This window comes from Homo sapiens, chromosome 18, assembly GCF_000001405.40.
Source record: "Homo sapiens chromosome 18, GRCh38.p14 Primary Assembly".
NCBI lineage: Eukaryota > Metazoa > Chordata > Mammalia > Primates > Hominidae > Homo > Homo sapiens.
The window spans coordinates 65125946-65147720 of record NC_000018.10 but is presented as its reverse complement, the minus strand read 5'-3'; the positions used below and the strand labels follow the sequence as shown (position 1 = coordinate 65147720).

Here is a 21775-nt window from a genome sequence, read left to right as displayed (position 1 = left end):
ATAAATATATTTATCTATCTATCTACCTAATTTCCACAACACTTTATAAAATATTTCTGTATTCTAGGTAGAGTAGGTGAAAATGAGCAAATAAGAGCACTTGGCCAGGAGAAAAATATAGTATTCTGTAACGTTCTGAAATAACATTTTTAAATGTATTCTTCTAATTTTTATATATATGGGATTTTGAAGTGGTTAGGAAACATTAAAAAAACTAACAGTAAAAGTATTCAAAACAAGTTAGAGCAATCATTTACTCACCAGAATGTGCTAATTAGAGATTTATTATCATGTACCCAGATTTCAAAAATTAAAAGATTATCACAGAAAAAAAAACCAGTATGATAACTGTTAAATTTCAGAATTGTAATTACTTTTAAATATTCCTTGGCAGAAAGACAACTTAATAATACTGTTGTAACTAAAATATACTATAGAAAATACAGATACTTTCTGATTCAATCCTGTTTTCTTGTTAGTTTATAAATAACATTCATTTATTGCATTTATTTAAATGTGTCCTTAAAAAATAATCTAGCTGTTATTCCTTCTTTACAGAATAAAAAAAAAATAAAATCCATGTTATATCTAAATTTCAGAAATAATATATCAAATTGATAATGATTAAAAATTGTTATGTTGAAAAATCACCAGGTGTTCTTTTGTAATCTGAACAATGATACAGTGGAGAGCAAATTTGATACTATCTTATTTCTGTACAAAGGCCTTTCTTTGTGTCTTTAAAACTGCTACCTCTCTGCTGATGACAGATCTACACAAATCACAGAAGTTGGTACTACATAGTTGGGATAAAACCTTGACAGGGCCCCAGTGAGAAAGCACATCATCAGGCTCCTAATGATGCTAATGTAAACTGCCAAAAGCTGTCACTCTTAACAGTTATGGCAGGCCCAAAGCAGAGAGCAGGGAATAACGATACATTCTGAAAGCTGACAAAGGAAAACAAATGCATTATGTATATGGATATAAGAAAGCAAACAGTTGAATCTTCAAAGGGAGATGCCTTTATACCTTGCTATCAAGTAGGCTTGTCTGTGACACTTTGAAGCTAATATGGACAAGATCTATGTTATCTGCAGATCCAGCCTACCTTAGCATGACCATTCAATAAAACCTGAAATGATCGCTGCATGCATTTAGCAAAACACACTCCATCAAACTCAAATGTGAAGTGACAGATCCTGAGAGAATGGAACTTGGATTCCCCTCAGCATAAGATTTTTTAATGCTTCTCAACAGTTTCCTGGATCAATGCAGTTCTATATGGAATTTGAAGGAAATGACAAAAGTAATAGTTGCTTTTCATGAAACAAGGGCTCTCATTTTTCTCCCTTGCTAATGCTGTAGTGTGCATGAGCATATGTTGTACTTGAGGTATTTCATTTGCAGCACTTTCTTTTACATAGCTGGGAGAATAATCAGTTAAATAAAATGTTACTTAAATGAGTCTTTCAAAAATGTGTGTCTGTGTGTGTGTATTCTTGCAGGTGTATAACTATTGACAAAGATATTATGGGTTAAGTCAGAATTTTGCTTCAACTTCTGCTCCACATGAGTGAAACTAGAGCAGAAAGATTAATTGATTTATTCAGGGTCATAAAGGAGCACACCTAAACCTCGAGTTTAACCTCAGGAGACTAAGTCTCTGATCTGTTGTCCAGTCAGTTGAGCCATTCAGAGACCCAAAATAATATATTGTCTGTTGGTATTAGGACAAAAATTATACAATGTAGTAATTCAGGCATCACATGATTATATTTACATTTGTGACCACTGTATAAGAATCAATGATGCAGTCCTTGTCTAGCAAGGATTTGCATTTGCTAAGTGCATTTTGTTTTCAGGAAATGTGCAGGAATAGCATTATCAGAAATCAATCCCCCATGTTTCCTTATAGATAAAAGCACAGGTTATGGAAGTGAAATTTTTTGTACATTTAATTGTTAGTGTGACTATACCCTGACCAATAGAAATTATTTGTGGGTATAAAAGGATTATTTATTCTTGACACAGTCTTTACATTCTCCCTTGAAACTTGTGGCATTGGTGAAAAAGACAACTATGCTTTCAGAGCTCAACCAAAGCATTCCTTCATTCCACAGAACCCAATACATGTTAGTAGAAAGTAAAGATTTCCATCATCCTAGTGTGAGCTAGATTTATGCAAGTGACTTTGAAATTAATGAAAATCTCCTAGGCTATCTAGTCCCCTGGGAGGATATGAGAGGAGAGCAGTAGATGGCAATTGGACATTTATCAAGCTTATCTTCCTATTTGCTACTCAATTTCTGTGAGACCTTGGGAACACAAATTACAGGATTCATTTTAGTGATGTTTTTCACTCATTGGGACAGAAGGGTGACAACATAATGTTATAACATGATAAATAATAAAAATTCTTTGATGTTAATGCCATAAAGGATATTGGAAGCAGATTCTTAACATACAAAATAAAAAAATGCACATTATAGAGCATCATATTAATGCTGCAAGAACATCACAACTTTATTCAAAGAGGCAAACAGTATTCATAATCTATTATTATTTTATATAAGTTGCTGTGGCAAATTTAGTTAGTGTGATAAGATCAACAGCTTTAAAAATATAAGATGCACTTGCAGTCATCCAGACTTAATTATTCCCTTTCAAGTGACGTTTTCCTGGAGTTCATTTACAAATAATATTAGGTGTTAGACAGCAGAAGCACACTATATTATTATAATAATACATCTTGACATCTTATTTAGTATATTAAAAAGGGATAAACTATTACAAAATTATTAAAGAGCAGCAGTGAGGAAATGTTATCTGGAAATATAGTAATAATTGAAAGTCAGTGACTTAAATTTCACTTATTTAAAGAATAAAACCTACGTGTAACACTATAATATGCTTATTATAAATAGGCACAAAATTAAAAGAATTATCGGAAGAGAAAATGATCACATATTCTAACTCTCCAGTGATTTCCAAAGTTATTTTTTGGTGTAATTCTACTCAGACATTATTTTTTACATGTACCTGTTGAGTTTTTTTCAGTTTCAATCATAAGATGTATAACTTTGTCTTTCTATTTTGCCTTCATTAAAATCATACTTTTCAGAAGTAACAGATGACATCTCATATGTTATTTTGAGTATGAGGCATGAACTATATAGAAACAATTTAGGACATGTCATTAATAAATTATTCACCTTAAAAATGAGAACCTACATTTACTTCAAAAACAAAGCATTAAAGCACTTGCAAAATTTTGGCTTAGGCACTTACCTCAACCTCTCCTCTCCCAAACTCTACTGATACTACAAGTAGAATGTATGGATTATCTCTCTCTTTCCTTCAGAGGAATCACTGGCAGCTGGCGTATACAATTCCAGCAGACATGCCAGTTTTCTCCTGAAAGAGTAAAGTTTCCTGAACGTGGATCTTTGTCCTGAAACACCCACATCCTGAGTTGGTTGGGAGTTTGAAGTATTTTGGACGTCATTTGGATATTTTCACTTCTGCTTCTTCCTTCTCTATGAAGTTTTAACACTAGAGATTTATCAAAAGCAATTAAATGTACCATGTTTTTTCTTAGAGGTGTCTTGTCTTCCATGTTGCACAGAGATGGATTATGATCTTTGGTCAGCCCAGAGATGTGTCTTTTCCAGGAGTGGTCTAAAAAGAGAGAGAACTCTGTGGTGGTATACTTTCTTGGGGGATGCTATTTATTGGGTGGAGGAGGGGGTGAATTACAAATCTGAGAAATATGATATTCACCATGGCTTTATGCTACTATCAAACTGCCCCCATTACCTTCATCAGCACCCATCCCCCAACACCACTATCACTCTGGGTACATTCCTCCTTTATTTTTTCCCATTCCTGCCTTCCTTCCACTACTACCTGTCCCACTGAGCCAACCCTAAACATTTTGTCCTCATAGTTGTTCCTCATCTTTCCCATACAGGGTTCTGTAGGCCAGAAGGGCTGTTCTGCTTTTTTGTCAACTGTCTTTTGTAAGCATTTGGATAACAACAGGTATCAAAGAGAGATTAGATGAAAGAAGGAAGGAAGAAGCCAAGATACTTTTCTTTCTCCCTTGTCTTGGGTGGTGTGTCCAACAATGGACACGTACTTTTCTTGCCTCAAACACCCACTAATAGGCTTCCTGCTTTCAGCTTCTTCCTGGTGACCCCTTGACCAGGCTCTTAGGTTCCAATGCCATTGCCTCTTTGCTTTGTGTTATTATTTTTTTCCAAGCTATGTATAGTGGTGACAACCTGCTGTTACTAATCTATGTATTTCTCACTAATCTCCAATCATCTTCTTAGCCTCTTTTATCATCTGTTACCTGTTTCCTGTATTAATTTACTTTGATCTCAAGTATTCAGAGAGGTGTATGTATGCTGGTATGATGCTTACTCTTTTTTTTTTTTTTTTTTTGAGACGGAGTCTCGCTCTGTCGCCCAGGCTGGAGTGCAGTGGCGGCGATCTCCGCTCACTGCAAGCTCCGCCTCCCGGGCTCACGCCATTCTCCTGCCTCAGCCTCCCAAGTAGCTGAGACTACAGGCACCTGCCACCATGCCCGGCTAATTTTTTGTATTTTTAGTAGAGACGAGGTTTCACCGTATTAGCCAGGATGGTCTCGATTTCCTGATCTTGTGATCCACCCGTCCCAGCCTCCCAAAGTGCTGGGATTACAGGCGTGAGCCACCGCGCCCAGCCGACACTTACTCTTATGTGTAGAACTTTATCTCAGCAGTGGTTGAAGAAAAATACCTCTCATGATGTGGTTCCAGGAGTGAGCTCATCGCCTATTTGCATAAGAACACAATCATGAAGACCTTGAAGTTGGAAAATGGGAGAATTGTAATCTGTGTCATGCAATGACATCAATTTAACCTAAATAATTATCTATAGATACTTGAAATGAAGGGCTGGTCAAAGTCAAGGGTTTGGAAAATCAAGCTGTTGTTATATTCAACTCTTGTGGAAATAAGGATAATTACAAGAAAAAAGGGGCATGCTGCCCACTTCTGAAGGTAAAGAAGGGCTGACAAAAAAGAGGTTCACTTACGTCTATAAACTTTCAGTTAAAAGCAGGTTTAGGGTATATAACTTTAAAAGAGTTTATTATGTTCCATAGCTTCAGGGCAGATGTGGCTAAGGATCAGAACAAAAATTTAAATCTTCAGAAGCATAAAGTACAAGTTGACTGTACAGCAGTATCAGTTAAGCATTACATTAATGCCTTTGTTTAGGGTACGAGCAAAGAAGTACCACAACTCTGAGATTTGACATTTGTGTGCACTTGAGCAGACAACCAGAGTTGTCTGACCACCAGAGTTCACCCATTTTTCATAATATTGGCACAAACTCCAACTTCATTGTTAGAAAGGTAGACTTCCCTCAGACAGATATTATTTAATTATGCCACCTGATTCAGTTTGTGCATTCCTAGTCTTTTCAAACCTTCTCCACAATCTCCAACTGCCTTCAAGGTGATAACAATACTTATTTCCCAATATGCCCCCAATAGAGAATTAATTCTAGGAGGATATAGTATATATGCCAAAATATAATTTATTTTTATCTGTACATATCTGGAAAACAATAATTGTACTAGATTCACAGAGTCATCCAAAAAGAACAAAATTTAATTTTGGATGAAGTCGAATTTACTATAATGTTTAACTAAACTTCATTCTGAATTTAAGTGCTAGAGAAGTTGAAATTTGATCTGTTTGCTAATTTGGCTGTTGAAGTCTAGATTCAAAGCTTGTATTCATGAGGTAAAAAATGCCAGCCCTTTCTCTGTATAATGTAGGGGAAGACATTTGGATTCCAGAGGGAAAGTAATACTGCAGTAGATCTGGTAAGTGCAATTCTCTCATTTTCCCTCATCAGTGTATCTCCGGAGTGCCCAGAAGACAGTACCTTTACAAAGGAATTGAAAAATGTATGGTGAGAATACCAGTATTTTAAAAGCTCTGTGGTGGCTGTCATCTCCGTGCTCAGGATAATAATGGAACTGAGTTATCATAAAATTGAGGTCCTTTTTAATAATGGAATTCTGAAGAGTGGGAAACTGGGGTTTAAGTGTGTGAGACAGTCTAACTTCAATTACCATAATAGGCAATCGTATTGGAGTGGTCATCAGAATGCTTTGGCACCCAAGGTTTTGTGGTGGTCGTTAAAAGAACTCAAAGTCATAGATGTGCAGCCTACTGATGTATTCATAAATCAGCCTACTCATGTATTAACCAATATAATATGAAAAGGTTTGTTTGGTGTTTGGTGAACAGAAACCCCACTTTTGTCACCACAAGAGGAGTAACAATTTTTCTCCCAGTTCCCAAACACCAAAGTCAATTCATAGACTGGGTTTCTAACTGTCTTAAGTCTTGGCTTTAGCACTGATAATCCCATATCTTGTGAAACCTTCCAGTCCTAGGCAGATTAGACCATTGGTCACTCCAATGAAGTCCCTTGATTAAAATTCAGCCTGAGTTCCTTGAGGAAGGACATTGCAATTAGAATATATTGAAATCCTTCTTCAGTTTTCCTCCCAAACTTGTCTTCCGACAAGCAGGCAATGGGAGAAAAGTAGCACTCAAAAATTTAAAAATGTTATGCTGACTTTGATTTTATGTGATTTCTAGCAACCTGCAATTCTGCTTTTACTCAAGCATCCAAGTAAAGAATTAAAGAGCTCAAGTAATAAATGCAGATTTGCTGCAAAGTCATTCAAAATAAAACCAGTTGGAGTATTCCTAGTCAGCAACCAGCAGACTCTCTGCACAGAATAGCTCTCTCACCTATGGTGTGAAGTCCAGAAAAATAGGAAAGACCAAGTGAAACCCCATGGAAATAAATGTCTTTATCATTTTATTTAAAAAATGTCACACTTCTTAGAGAATCATGATTGTTAAATCTGTCATCAAGATTTGAAAATAGATTTCATTCCTATTACACACACTTTTAATTCACCTGTTTGGTTGTCATAAAAAATCATGTACATGTTGAAAATGATATGGATCATTGAAAATATAATTAGTGACTCCAACTGCAGCTGCTGCAACAGATATGGTGTGTTTGTTAGAGGAAATAAACACATGTCTTGCCTTGAAATACCCCTACTGGCCTGGAAACATATTTTTCCCCATGCCAGTCACCAAGGATGATCTAAGCAGTTTGCCTTCACGTGGGAGAGTTAGTAAATACAATTTCACTATCTTCTCTCAGGGTTAGGGCAACTCTTCTCTTAGTATTAAAATTAGGTCTCTAGGACTTTTGTCCTGTAGGCATCCCACCAATCATAATTTGCTCAACCTAACAGTATTCAGATTTTCCCTGGTGAGCAGGTCAGGGAAAGCACCACAGATGTGCTGGTTAGATGTATATTTGACAAAGGAAGAATAATATTGCAAAATTCAGGGACCTTCCATTTTAGTAAATATTTTGGGGAGAAGATGGTCTGGGGGAATAACAGTATATCACCACAAAAAAGGGAAAAGTTGTCTTATTTTGTACCAATGCTGACAAAACATAGAACACTTATGTGCTTCTTAATTGTAGAGGCAACCTATACCATAAAACTTGTGCATCGTCACCATATTATTTTACCAAATAAACTTTGAGGCTTCTCCTAGTTTTGAGTGGAATCTAAAGAGAAGAAAAGGTTCTGCATCAAGTCTAGGATGTTATCAAAAGCCATATTGTATGTTAAGCCTTAGACACACCAGATTTGATGAAGCTCAAAATGTTCATGAGTTAATGTGGATCTTGTATCAAACTTCTGAAAAGACACAATGGAAGTTACACAATTATGTTTTACTTTTCAATCAGTTCAAGATTTATTTTCTGATTTCCATATATATTTGTGTCTTAATTCATGGATTATTTGGAAGTATATTAATTAATTTACAAACATATGAGAGTTTTCCAGTTATATTTTTCTTATTGATTTGTAGCCTAATGCCAGTGGGGGTCAGGGAATATTTTAAGCATAATTTTAATCCTTTTCATTTTCTTGATATGTTTTTATGATCCAGCATATTATCTAAACTTGTAAATATTAAATGTGTATTTGAGGAAAACGTGTAGTTTGCAATTTTTGAGTGCGATTTTTCTCTACAGGTCTTTTAGGGTAAGTCTGTAAATCTTGTTGCAAATCTTTCAAATCTTACTTTTTATCATTGTAATCTGTCTTTATTTCTAGTAATAATTTTTTCTTTGAAATCTACTTACTCCAAAACTAAGTAAATTTTGCATAGTTTTGCCTAATTAACTACTTATTATAAAACTTTTAAAAATATTATTGTTTCCATAGTATGTCTTTTTACATTATTTTACTGACAACTTTTCTGTATCTTTATATTTAAGGATTTGTATCTACTTTTAGATAGTCTTTTTATTTTTCAATCTGACAACCTTTGCTTTTTAACAGTAAGATTTAGTCTAATTATGGTTAATATAATTACTGAACTATTTGGGTTTAAATATATTATCTTACTCTGTTTTCTTTTTGTTCACTTCTGCCTCATTCCTTCTTGTAACCATTTTTAACTTTCTTTGGAATTTTTTTAGATTATTCTATTTCTTTTTTTTTTAAATGGAGAACTGACAGTAACTTTAATATATGTAAATATCTCAATTGGATAATTCAGGCACAAAAATATATTGGAGCTTGGTGCTTATTAAGTTTATGTTTTATGCATTTCCATTGCAGGAGTTAATATGTTTCTTGGTTTCTTTTTTTCTTTTATTATACTTTAAGTTTTAGGGTACATGTGCACAACGTGCAGGTTAGTTACATATGTATACATGTGCCATGCTGGTGTGCTGCACCCATTAACTCGTCATTTAACATTAGGTATATCTCCTAATGCTATCCCTTCCCCCTACCCCCACCCCACAACAGGCCCCGGTGTGTGATGTTCCCCTTTCTGTGTCCATGTGTTCTCATTGTTCAATTCCCGCTTATGAGTGAGAACATGCAGTGTTTGGTTTTTTTGTCCTTGCGATAGTTTACTGAGAATGATGGTTTCCAGCTTCATCCATGTCCTTATAAAGGACATGAACTCATCATTTTTTATGGCTGCAAAGTATTCCATGGTGTATATGTGTCACATTTTCTTAATCCAGTCTATCATTGTTGGACATTTGGGTTGGTTCCAAGTCTTTGCTATTGTGAATAGTGCTGCAATAAACATACGTGTGCATGTGTCTTTATAGCAGCATGATTTATAATCCTTTGGGTATATACCCAGTAATGGGATTGCTGGGTCAAATGGTATTTCTAGTTCTAGATCCCTGAGGAATCGCCACACTGACTTCCACAATGGTTGAACTAGTTTACAGTCCCACCAACAGCGTAAAAGTGTTCCTATTTCTCCACATCCTCTCCAGCACCTGTTGTTTCCTGACTTTTTAATGATCGCCATTCCAACTGGTATGAGATGGTATCTCACTGTGGTTTTGATTTGCATTTCTCTGATGGCCAGTGATGATGAGCATTTTTTCATGTGTTTTTTGGCTGCATAAATGTTTTCTTTTGAGAAGTGTCTGTTCATGTCCTTCGCCCACTTTTTGATGGGGTTGTTTGTTTTTTTCTTGTAAATTTGTTGGAATTCATTGTAGATTCTGGATATTAGCCCTTTGTCAGATGAGTAGGTTGCGAAAATTTTCTCCCATTCTGTAGGTTGCCTGTTCACTCTGATGGTAGTTTCTTTTGCTGTGCAGAAGGTCTTTAGTTTAATTAGATCCCATGTGTCAATTTTGGCTTTTGTTGCCGTTGCTTTTGGTGTTTTAGTCATGAAGTCCTTGCCCATGCCTATGTCCTTAGAGACCTACAAAGAGACTTAGACTCCCACACAATAATAATGGGAGACTTTAACATCCCAGATTATTCTATTTCTTATCCTCTAATAGCTTGTCAGTAAACAGTTTTATTTTTTTTCAGTGTTACATTAGGGTTTTCAACATAAACTTTTTACTTACTAAAAATCTAATAAGTCATACTTTTATTCCTCTTTAGATAATATAAAATCTTAAAATATTTTTAATCCACCTATTCCTCCTACTTGTTTTGTGATTGTAATCATACGTATTAATTCTATAATACTAAATACATATTTTAAGCTTTGGAAGATGTTATTTTAAACAACAGTATTAATTTAGATTTTGCTAGATATTTACCTGTTATTTGCCTTTTTATCTCTTACTGCACCTCTGTGTTTCAATCTGGGACTCCAATTGCACGTGTATTCAAACTGTTAACTCAGCCCCACAGATCTTTCAGGCTGTTTGTCCACATTTTTATCTATGTATCAAATGTGCTACTTTTTCTGATCTTCAAGCTCAATAATCTTTTCTTGTGTGGTATCTAAAATATTTTCTAACTTACCTACTTTCACCTAAACTTCATTATATCTTTCTTCAATTCTGAAATTCTCATTTAATTCTTATTATAGTTTTCATTATACATTTCTTCAGATTTTAGTCTAATCTTTTAAATATATCTATATATTTAATTTAAAAACTCTTACTCTGTGATGTTTAGTTTACTGAGCTAAGGTGTTCTCAGATTGGTTGCAAAACATTGTTTCTGGGTGTAACCATGAGAATGTTTCCAGAATAGATTAACATTTGAGCCAATACACCAGGTAGGAATGATGACCCTCAACAATGTTGGTGGGCATTCTCCAATCTGTGGCCCATATAGAACAAAAAGATACAGGAAGAGAGAATTTGCTTTCTTTGCTTGAGTCTGGACATCAGTCTTCTCCTGCCCTCAGACACTGGGTTCCCTGGTTCTTTTGACTGGGACTGGGACTGTATACCACTGGCTTCCTCAGTTCTCAGCCTTTCCATTACAACTAGAGCTATAGGAGCAGATTTCTTGGGCCTCTAGCTTGCAGATGGAAGACTGTGGGACACTTCAGTCTTTATAGCTGAGTGAGCCAATACCTTGTAGTAAATATCCATCTATCTTTGATGTATCTATGTATCTATCTTTGTATCTATATGTCTATGTATCTATGTATGTATGTATCTATCTATCATCTATCTATCTATCATCTATCTATCTATCTATCTATCTATCTATCTATCTATCTATCTATATCCTTTTGGTATTATTTGTCTGGAGAATCCTGATTAACATAGTCTGCTAACTTTTATCTGTATCTTCTATGTGTATGCTTCTTCTTCTTCCTGTCTCTCTCTCTTCTTTGTCCTCATTTAATCTCCTTTCCTGGCATATTGGTAATTTTGATTGGATTCTGGACATTGTAGATTAAATATTTTAGAAATACTTTGAAGCTATGGATTTTATTATTTTTCTCCAGAGACTTTTCAAAATGCTGATTTTGGAAGGCAATTAAATTGGCGCCAGTTTACCTAATTCAAACAGAGATTGCACTATTTTGGTGTAGTGCTTCAGTCTTTACAAGGACTGAATTATTTTCTTTTGTTTTTCCTGCTATTCCAAGGGTATTACTCATTGGAAGAACCAATTGGTAAATTGAGAAATTTCCCATGGTATTTAATGGTTGGTGGAGATTTGGCCCCTCTAGCCTCATAAGACTGCTGGAAGCTCTTCTCACTTACTCAGCCTCTCCACTGTTTTGAGAATTACAAAATTCAGTGACAATTATCATGTTCAGTTCTTTGTACTTCTCTTTTATCTGGGATCTAGGAGCCTGTAGTCTGTACTGCCCTAGTAATTCTCCAATGTCTTCAAGCAAATACTTTTAATATTTTGTGTAGTTTTTATGGTTGATTTTGTAAGATGTTTAGAACTCAAAATGTATTTTGCTATTTACCATAAGTAAAATTTATGATTATTCAGACTGAGTCTCTCCTCCTTGTAAAAGAGATGTAAGTGATTTGACTTTTAAAAACAGGAAGTTGTCTCAGGTTAGGTGGGACCATAAACGTTTGCATGGTAAATTAAAATTGGTAGATGAGTGAGAATGTTGCTGACTAGCAAAATAGGTAGATAGTGCCTATTTGGTGACCCTGTTTGCTGTCTCTCTTTTCTTCTCGTTTACTCTGTTTCTTCTAAAAGGAAAGATAAACTTTTCAGCCTGTATTTACTAGACTTCCATGTCTCTTTCATTTGTTTTGGGCAACAAGAGAAATTGAAAAAAGACAAGGAGCTGCAGGAAAGGAGAGTGAGAATGACAGCATTTCTCGCCTTCCCTCCTGTTGGTGAGGGGCAACTTCATCAGGGCCAAATCTCTTCCCTGTCATTTTCTGCTGTGCTCTGGGTCAGGTGACTCCGCTGTCACTCCTGATAGCCCAGGATGCCAGTGCTTCCTGTGCTTCCTTATTTCTGGCTGGCCTTTCTATGCACTGGCTAATATTTCACTTTTTCCATATACCTGACCAGTTCATTGTATTAAAATCCCTTTGTCTTAACTAGAAAAAATAATAAAGTCAAAAATGGAAGCATTTGAGGTAATTCTGCTGTGCAAAAGAAGGAGTATCCAATTCTTTTGAATTTTGACATGGTTTTTCTACAAAAGACTTGCTGCAAGAAGGGAAACACATTTGTTGAAAAATGACTTTGTGTCTTCACGAACTTTCAAAAACATGCTTGCTCTTCCTAAGAAAACAAAGCAACATGCCGTGAAGAAGGACAACCTTATTTTGTGAAGATTTAAAAGGATTCAACAAGAGACGAAAAATAAGATCTTTGAATTAAAATCTATGATGGATGTAGCAACTATTAGATTAAATTTTGAAGGAATTTAGATTGATGAGCTCGTATATAAATGAAAGTTTCATTTAGGAAAATAACTTCTTAAAATGGCTCACAGATTGGATTAAAAAATAAACATTAAGTGACTTCAGGTTGATGAGATATTTTTAAAAAATTGACCCATCAAGCCTAAATGTAAAATGAAGGCTAAAATTACATTAGACAAGCATAAATGAAAGAAAACAGTGATTGCAATGTTGATACTGAAGCACAATCAAATAAAATACTAAATAGGGAATTCATTTCATATAGATAATATAAACAGTAGGCAAATGTCATAGCATCAAAATTCATAAAACATGATATTATTAGGAAAATAAGATAGATCATAAAGAGTGAGAACAAGATATTAAGACAGCAAGAAAATGAGAAAGAGAATGAAGAGAGCAAGTGGCCAAAAAGTGGTCATATGGTATTTGGTTTGCTACAAAACTTTGAACTAGCTTTCTACATTTTGAAAATTCATTACATTGTGAAATCTGCTTTTTAAAGTTGCATATGAAAAAATTTATCCCAGGGTCAACTGCAGTTGGTTAAAAACATATACATGAGACTGATTCAGAAGTAAGCTATGTAAGCTACATAAACAAATTGACTCTTTTTTTTTTTTTTTTTTTTTTTTGAGGCGGAATCTCACTCTGTCACCCAGACTTGAGTGCAGTGGCATGATCTAAGCTCACTGCAACCTCTTCCTCTCAGGTTCATGCAATTCTCCTGCCTCAGCCTCCTGAGTAGCTGAGATTACAGGTGAGCACCGTCACACCCCGCTAATTTTTGTATTTTCAGTAGAGATGGGGTTTTGCCATGTTGGCCAGGATGGTCTCCAACTCCTGACCTCAAGGGATCCACCCGCCTCAGCCTCCCAAAGTGCAGGGATTACAGGCATGAGCCACCACGCCCGGCCAAAAAATGGATTCTTTATGGGACATTCACTTTGTTGATTTAAGTTGTGGTAGAAATAGCATGGTTTCAAGGTCAAGGTCTACTTTATCATGACAGTTCTGTGTGTGGTTCAGGATGCTAATTCTGAAAGCTCAGCCTAGAGTCTTTCCCCCTGGACATTCAGTGATTTTATGGGTCATGTAATATCCACTCTTACTAGGTGACTTCTGTAATCTTACCAAATAATGCTGACAAATGCAGTATTTTTGATGAGGATTTTCAGACAATTAAAAAAAAAAAGGAAACATAAGAATTTGGCTTTCAAGTATTTTTTTAATGTGATAATAATCTGTGCATATTACAGAATCGAGAAGTGATCTTTTTTGCAGATATTGATAACTCTATTAATGCAGTTATTGAATCATCACTGGTGGTCACCTGGAATAAAATTTATATTTAGAACAAGACTTTTACACTTCAATGAATGCCAGTATTTCCCATAATAAAAGGCAGAAATAATATGTTTTTCAGGTGGAAATGTTTTTTTTCTAACTCTGCCTGAGAATTTAAAAATAAAAAAGGCAAGTAGAAATACAACTCGAGGCATTGTCAAAGAACCAGAGAGCAACTATGACTACTAAAATATAATATTCTGTGTATTGAAGCCAAAACATTCATGTAGCAGAGGTATTGTAAAAAGATAAATCCTTCAGATATTTGAATTATTACATACAAATTCACAATGTTCCTAGCTCTCATATATAAAATTAGGACAAGAAATGGGTGACTATAATGTTCAAAATTGGAATAGGGTATTGAGGAGGGTTAGTTTTTTTCAAGAAGCATAAACCTGTTTATTCTACTGAATGTCCCGTACAGTAAAATCCAATGAGCCGGGTTCAAGACTCTGTAATGATTTCATCTAAGGTAGGTTACTTTTGCTCTTTGTTTTTGTTTTTGGAAGAAAATACCAAACTTGATTGTGTCTAGCTCCTATTACTTTACTTTGACCCTAGGCTTCTTACTAAACTCCAATTCAGCATAACCAGGTAGTTAAACCCTGGAGGAGAAGACGTAAACATAAAATGTGTTTATAAATTAATATTGGTGCAAGTGTGGGGAATATGTGTGGCATAGATTGAAAGATGTTATACACTGAAATACATGTGATACAGATTTTGAAGTTTTTATACAAGGAAAATATATTTAGATTGGTATGGTTTTATCACTATGAAAAATTTATCTAAAGTTTTGAATTCTATAGGACACATAGAATGACTAAAATAAATTCTGTTTCTCTACCCGGTTGAGTTACTTGATTTTAGGTCCATGTTAAGCTATAATAGATAAAGTTGAAAAACCAGGCTGGTCGTAGTGGCTCATGCCTGTAATCCCAGCACTTTGGGAGGCCGAGGCAAGTGGATCACCTGGGGTCAGGAGTTCAAGACTAGCCTGGCCAACATGGTGAAACCCTATCTCTACAAAAATACAAAAATTAGCCGGGCATGATGGTGGGTGCCTGTAATCCCAGCTTCTTGGGAGGCTGAGGCGGGATAATTGCTTTAACCTGGGAGGCAGAGGTTGCAGTGAGCCAAGATTGCACCATTTCACTTCAGCCTGGGTGACAGAGTGAGAGTCCATCTAAAAAAAAAAGAAAAAGAAAACAACAGCAAGAAAAACAACAGTCTATTGGTATAATCTAGGACAGGAGTCAGAACCTTTTTCTGAAAAGGTAAATAGTAAATATTTTAGGTTTTATAGGCCATATTACATATTTGATGCACATTCTTCATATTTTTCCTTTTAAAAAAACAACTTTTAAAATATAAAATCCATTTTTACTTGGAGTTCAAACAAAAATAGGCTGCAGGCTCTGTCATAGTTTTCTAACCTCTTATATACAACAAATAGTAAAACAGTGGAATGAGAATGCTGAAGTGTTTTATTAATCATATGAGTTTACTTACTCACCAAAAGAGTATGTCTCTTGAGCAAGAACAGAAGATAATTAATTCATCAATGCATTGATTAAAAATGTTAGCTAGTGATCATGAGCATCCTTAAAATTTTTAAGTCCCTGTAGTCTCTGTAGGAGGTATGGTAGCCAGCCTCAAAAATAATTCTTAACTCCTGCAATTCACTACACGCTACAAGCTTCTCACAAACTAAATAAAGCTGATCTTTCTAACCAATCAGATATTTCAGAAATGATGATGTGTGACTTCTGATGATGAGTTATAAAAGACATTGTGACTTTTCCATTGTGATTCTGGAACATTAGTTCTGGTAGAGGCCAGCTGCCATGCCATAAAGACATTCAGGCAGCTGATGGAGATACTGACCTGATGTTGAGCTATGGCTTCCTACCATTAACAAGCATTAACCTGACAAGGATGTGAGTGAGACACCTTGGAAGTCCATCCTCCAGTCCCAGTCAAGTCTTTAGATGACTACAGCCTCAGCTGAGAATCTGAGCATAATATCATGAGAGTCTTGAAGCTAGAAATACTCAGCCAAGCTGCTTCTGAATTCCTAACTCACAAAAACTGTAAGAGATAATACATGTTTCTTGTTTTAAGCCACTATATTTTAAGCTAAGTTTAATCAACAAAATACTAAGTTGTTATACGGAAATAGATAACTAACATAGCAGAAGAAAAATTTAGTAATGTATTTATGATTTTATTGAAGATAATGTGATTCTAGAGTGACAGAGAATAGTAGAGACCCTTAGTTTGCAGAGGCAAGTAATAGTGACATTGGGGACAAGAAGGATTAAGAGTTAATCAAAATAGATTGTCCCACAAAGATGCTAACATTGTTGGTTGACCATGAGGAGACTAGAAGTGAAGTACATAGGCAGTGGGCAAAATCACTACAATTTTATACAACTATAACACTGATTCAAGACGTTACTGTTGGCTATAGTAAAATAATTTGAATCTAAATATTCTTCTGGAACCCTTGGGCTAAAGAAGTAGACCTCTGCTTCTTGTTAAATGTTAGTGCTATCCCCCAGCCCACATCTGACTTCTAAGACATGATTGCCTTTGTAAAATCCCCTACCTTCCTCTAGTGTCCATACAAATAACTAACTTAAGTCACATAATTAAAAACAAGGGAAGATGGATATGTTAATTTATTTGATTGTAGTAATAATTACACAGTATATATGTATATCACGCTATTACATTGTATGTCTTGAATATTTTCACTTTGTCAATTAAATATTTTAAAATAAAAATAACAAAGACATCAAACCAATTACCTAATGTTTCAATTTATGACGGTGAAAAAGAACAAACAAAACTGAAAACAAGTGGAAGGAAGCAAATGATAAAAATTAGAGTGAAATTTAATAAAATGTGTGGAAAAACAGTACAGAAAATAAACAAAATCTTGTGTTTTTTTTCAAAGATCTACAAAATTGACAGAGCTTTAACTAGACTAAGAAATAAAACGTAAAAAGATTGAGATAACTAAAAGAAGTTAGGAAAGTTCTATCACTACTAAACTTACAGTGATAAGAATATTAGATAAAAATACCATGAACAAGTATATATAAACAAACTAACCCGAATGAAAGGTACAAATCCCTAGAAAGACATAAATTGCCAGAACTGACTCAAGAAGAAATAGAAAATTTGCATATAACTATAACAAGTAGATTGATTTAATTCATAATGAAAGCAAAAAAAAAAAAAGGTCAGGTCTAAGGAGGTTTCATTGGTGATTTTACTAAACATTGAAAGAAGAATTAACACAAACTCTCACAAATTCTTTCAAAATTAGAAGAGAAGGAAACCCTTTCCAACTCATTTAATGCAGCCAGTGTTACCTTGTTACTTAAACTAGACAATGATATGACAAGAAAATCAAACTGAAGACTAATATTCTATATGAATATAGATACGGAAAATCAACAAAATACTACCAAATAAAATCCAGTAACATAAAAAATGTCTGTACCTAGATAAAGTAAGTTTTATCCTTAGAATGCAAGTTTAGTTTAACATATAAAAATAAACTTAATATACCATATTAACAAAATAAAAGAGAAAAACCACAATCATCTAAATACAAATGAAGAAAGCATTTAACAAATCTACTACCTTTTCATCATCAAAGAAAGTACTCAATCAAGTAGGAATAGAAGAGAACTTCCTCAATCTGATAAAGAGCATCTACTAAAACTTGACAGCTAAGAGCATGCTTATTGGTGGAAGAATGGGTACTTTCTCCTTAAGATTAAGAACAAGTCAAGGATGTCTAAGATCAACATTTCTGTTCAACATTGTATTAGACATTCTAGCCACAGCACTAAGGGATAAAAATAAATAAAAGGCATCACAAATGGAAAGAAATAATTAAAATCTTCTCTATTTGAAGATGACATGCTTTTGTATGCAGGTATATAGATAATTCTGAGAAATTCACATATATAAGAATGCTATTAAAACTAATAAATATATTCAACAAGATCAATATAGACAGATCTTCAAGATTAAAAACTGTATTTTTATACACTCATAATCAATAATCTCAAAATGAAATTCATCAAGCAATGCCATTTACAACAACATCCAAAAGAATAAAATATTTAGTCATAAATTTAATAAGAGAAGTTCAAGACTTGTCCACTGAAAGCCACAAAATATTGTCAAAAGAAATTAAAGAGCTAAGTAAATCAAAAGATATAATAGTTCATGGATTAAAAGGCTTAACATTATTAAGATAACAGTACTCCCCCAAAAGATCTATAGAGTCAACAAAATCCCCATAAAAATCCCAAAATATCACTTCTACATAAATTTTTGAGGTTTATCTAGAGCTCACATTAAAATGCAAGGGACCTAGAATTGCTAAAAACAATTTTGAAAGTGTAGATCAAAGTTGGAGGACTCACACTTTCCAAATTAAGACTTACTGAAAAGTACCAGGTAATCAAGACAGCATGTTTATACATACACATCAATAGAATACATTTTAGAGTCCACAAATTTTAACAGTTGTGTTTTTGGTTAATTTGTTTTTGATAAACAGGCTAAATAAATTCAATTGGAAAAATTGATATTTTTAATAAACATTGTCAAATCAACTGAATACCTACATGCAAAAGAATGATGTTGAACCTGCAACCCATGCTATATGCAACAGTTAACCAGAAATGGATCAAAAATTTAAATATAAGGAAAAAAGGAATAAAGCTCTTAGAGGAAAATATAGAAATAACTCTTTGTGACGTTGGTTTAGGCAATTGTTTCCTAGATATCACACCATAACACAAGTGACAAAAGAGAAAACTGATTAATTGGACTTCATGAAAATTTTAACCAGTTTTGTGCTTTAAAATTTACCAACAAAAGTATGAACAGACAATCCACAGATGGAAAAAAAATTCAATTTATATTACTTATAAGGGACTTATATCCAGCATATATAATTTATTCTTACAATTTAATAATAAAAAGACAAATAATCTAATTTTAAAATGGACAAAATATATGAAGACACATTTTTAAAACGATATACAGAGAGACAAGAACGTGAAAAAATGCTCTGCGTGATTCATCATTAATGAAATTAAAATCCAACCCCAATGAGAGCCAACTTCACACAAACAAGAATGGCTAAAATAAAGACAGGGACAATAGTACATGTTGGTGAGGATGTGGAGAAATTGGAACATTCATACACTGCTGGTAAAGTGCTAAAATGGCATAGTCATTTTGAAAAACAGGCTATTCCTAAATATGTTAAATATAGAGTTATCAAGCAATCCAGCAATTCCACTCATGTATACACTTGAAAAAATTGAAAATATGTTTACACAAAAACTTGCTATATACTATATATATTTAGAGACACGTTATTTATTGCTAGTAACAAAGTAGACAGCTCAAATGCCTATCAACTAATTAATGAATGAGCAAAATATGCTATATCCATAGAGTGGAATATTATGTAACCATAAAAATAACATGCACTAAAGTATGGGTGAACTTTGAAGAAACTATAGTAAATGGAAGAAGCTAGAAAGAAAAGGCCACATGTTTCATGATTCTATGTATGTTTCATCTCCAGGATAGGCACATTGATAGAGACAGAAAGCAAAGTAGTAGCTGCCAGGGTCTGGGGAGAGGAGAAACAGGGAATGGCTGCTAATGGGCACAGGTTTTATTATGGGGGTTATAAAAATGCTCTAAAATTAAACAGTAGTTGCACAATGCTGTAAAAGTACCAAAAAATCACTGAATTGCACATTTTAAAAGAGTGTATTTTATGGTATGTAATTTATATATCAATAAAGCTGTTTTTAAATGACTATAAAAATAGTGTCACAATCTCTTGCCAAGTTTCCATATCTGAATCAGCTTTATGTTGGAATCTCTATATAGATGGAGAGGTCAGATCTTCAGGAAGAAACACTCTTACAATATTTTGCCAAGTGTTTATAAAAAAATAGTTCTCATTTCTTCCAAAGGAATAATTGCTATTTATTTGAGAACTACACAGTCAAGAAAGTGTAAGGCCCAATTATTTTGAGAATTGTTGGACGTATTGTTCAAGTTTACATTAATCTCCAGTGTTCCAAACTTCATCGTGACTCCATATTTGAGTGGGGACATATATAGAAATATAGGAAACAAATGAAATCCTGGCTGCAATGTAGCTCACAGTGAGTCCACTGGACCCATGGAACCACTGCTATTTATTCTTCCAGTTCCTGAAATTATAGTTGAAATGGGATACTTGGTCATTGATAGAATCCCCAAATTAATTAGTTTCTTTACCTGTGGGGTAAAAGCTATTGTAATAGAGAAAGGTAAGTGGAAGTCCATAAATTAGGATCTAATACTTAGATGAGTTTGAAGTAATACACAGTCATCTTTCAGGATCCATTTGGCTTTTGTAAGGTCACAGTGGTAAATTAAAATGATACATAATGAGAACCACTGGCCCTTTATCTTTTTGTTGTAGGACTAGCACTAATCTGCAATATATTTTATTTGTTTTTCTGCTGATAAGAGGGTGAGCATACCTGTTTTAAAGACACTATAGCTAGAATCATGAACACAGCCTTGGTTCATTATATGAAGTGACTGATACGGCAAATGCATTCTTTCCCATCTCTGTCGGAATGGAGAATCCAAAAACTTTACCTTCAATAGAAATAGACATAGAACACATTTTTGGTATCTTTTCAAAAGTTTTTTCATTCTTCTGCCCCTTGTTATAGTCACAGGGACCTAGACAATGTACTTTGTGGAATATCACTTTGATCCACCATATTGATGACACCACGTTAATCAGATTTGTTGAGCAAGTTGGCAGGTGTATGAGGAAATTTTGTGAGACAAAGCGTCTCCACACAATGAAAGATAAACCCTGTGAAAATTCAGGACATTGTCACAAAATACATTTTCAGAAAAATACTGAGATACTTCAATTGCAAGACTTTTGCAAATTGCAAATACAATGGCAATCACTTACACCTTCCCCCAGTAAGATGGAAGTATAATGTCTGGTAGGTCTTTTTGGATTATGCCTACAGCATCCTCCCTTAGGAGTCCTAAAACCTGGGCTGTTTCCATATTTTGTGACGCAGAAGTAGTAGTAATTTCATCTTTATTGTATAATTTTACCGAAATTGACTCATTTTGGAGTACAAATATGCTTTTGTTAGTTGCAAAATATGCCTCAGGAAGCATTATTATCTGAGGATTGGTAAACATATTTGATCAAGCAACACATTACCTTACATAATATTGCACCTGATTAAGGTTTTTTTGTTTTGTTTTGTTTTTATAGCCAAAGAGATGTAACATTAGGCAGGTGACAAGGAGATCCACTGGGGTTGTCACATGCTCACCATCCAGTAGCTGCTAGCCTAGTAATGAAACATGTTCTAATACAAAATTGAAGTCCTCACTTGGAGTTCAGTCTGCAATAGTTGTTAAAACGTTCATTCTAAACCAATGACCATTATAGAATTTTGTGCCCATAGTAAGTAATAAATACATGTGTCTTGGGACACAATTAAGAAATTTTGCTTTTTATTGTTACAACTTTGGGCAGATTTAAAGATTCTGGCTGCAGAGGGAAAATACTTTCACT

At 34.3% G+C, this 21775-nt stretch overlaps 1 long non-coding RNA gene across 1 annotated transcript; it reads right to left on the bottom strand.

Moving 5' to 3' along the window:
• Nucleotides 1-3513: 3513 nt before the first annotated feature.
• On the bottom strand, nucleotides 3514-15801 carry LOC105372168 (uncharacterized). Its single transcript, XR_935582.2, has 3 exons — nucleotides 15629-15801; nucleotides 4741-4850; nucleotides 3514-3681 (listed from the first exon to the last, which is right to left on the bottom strand). It is a non-coding gene; the product is annotated as an uncharacterized LOC105372168 (long non-coding RNA).
• Between the last annotated feature and the right edge of the window lie 5974 nt (nucleotides 15802-21775).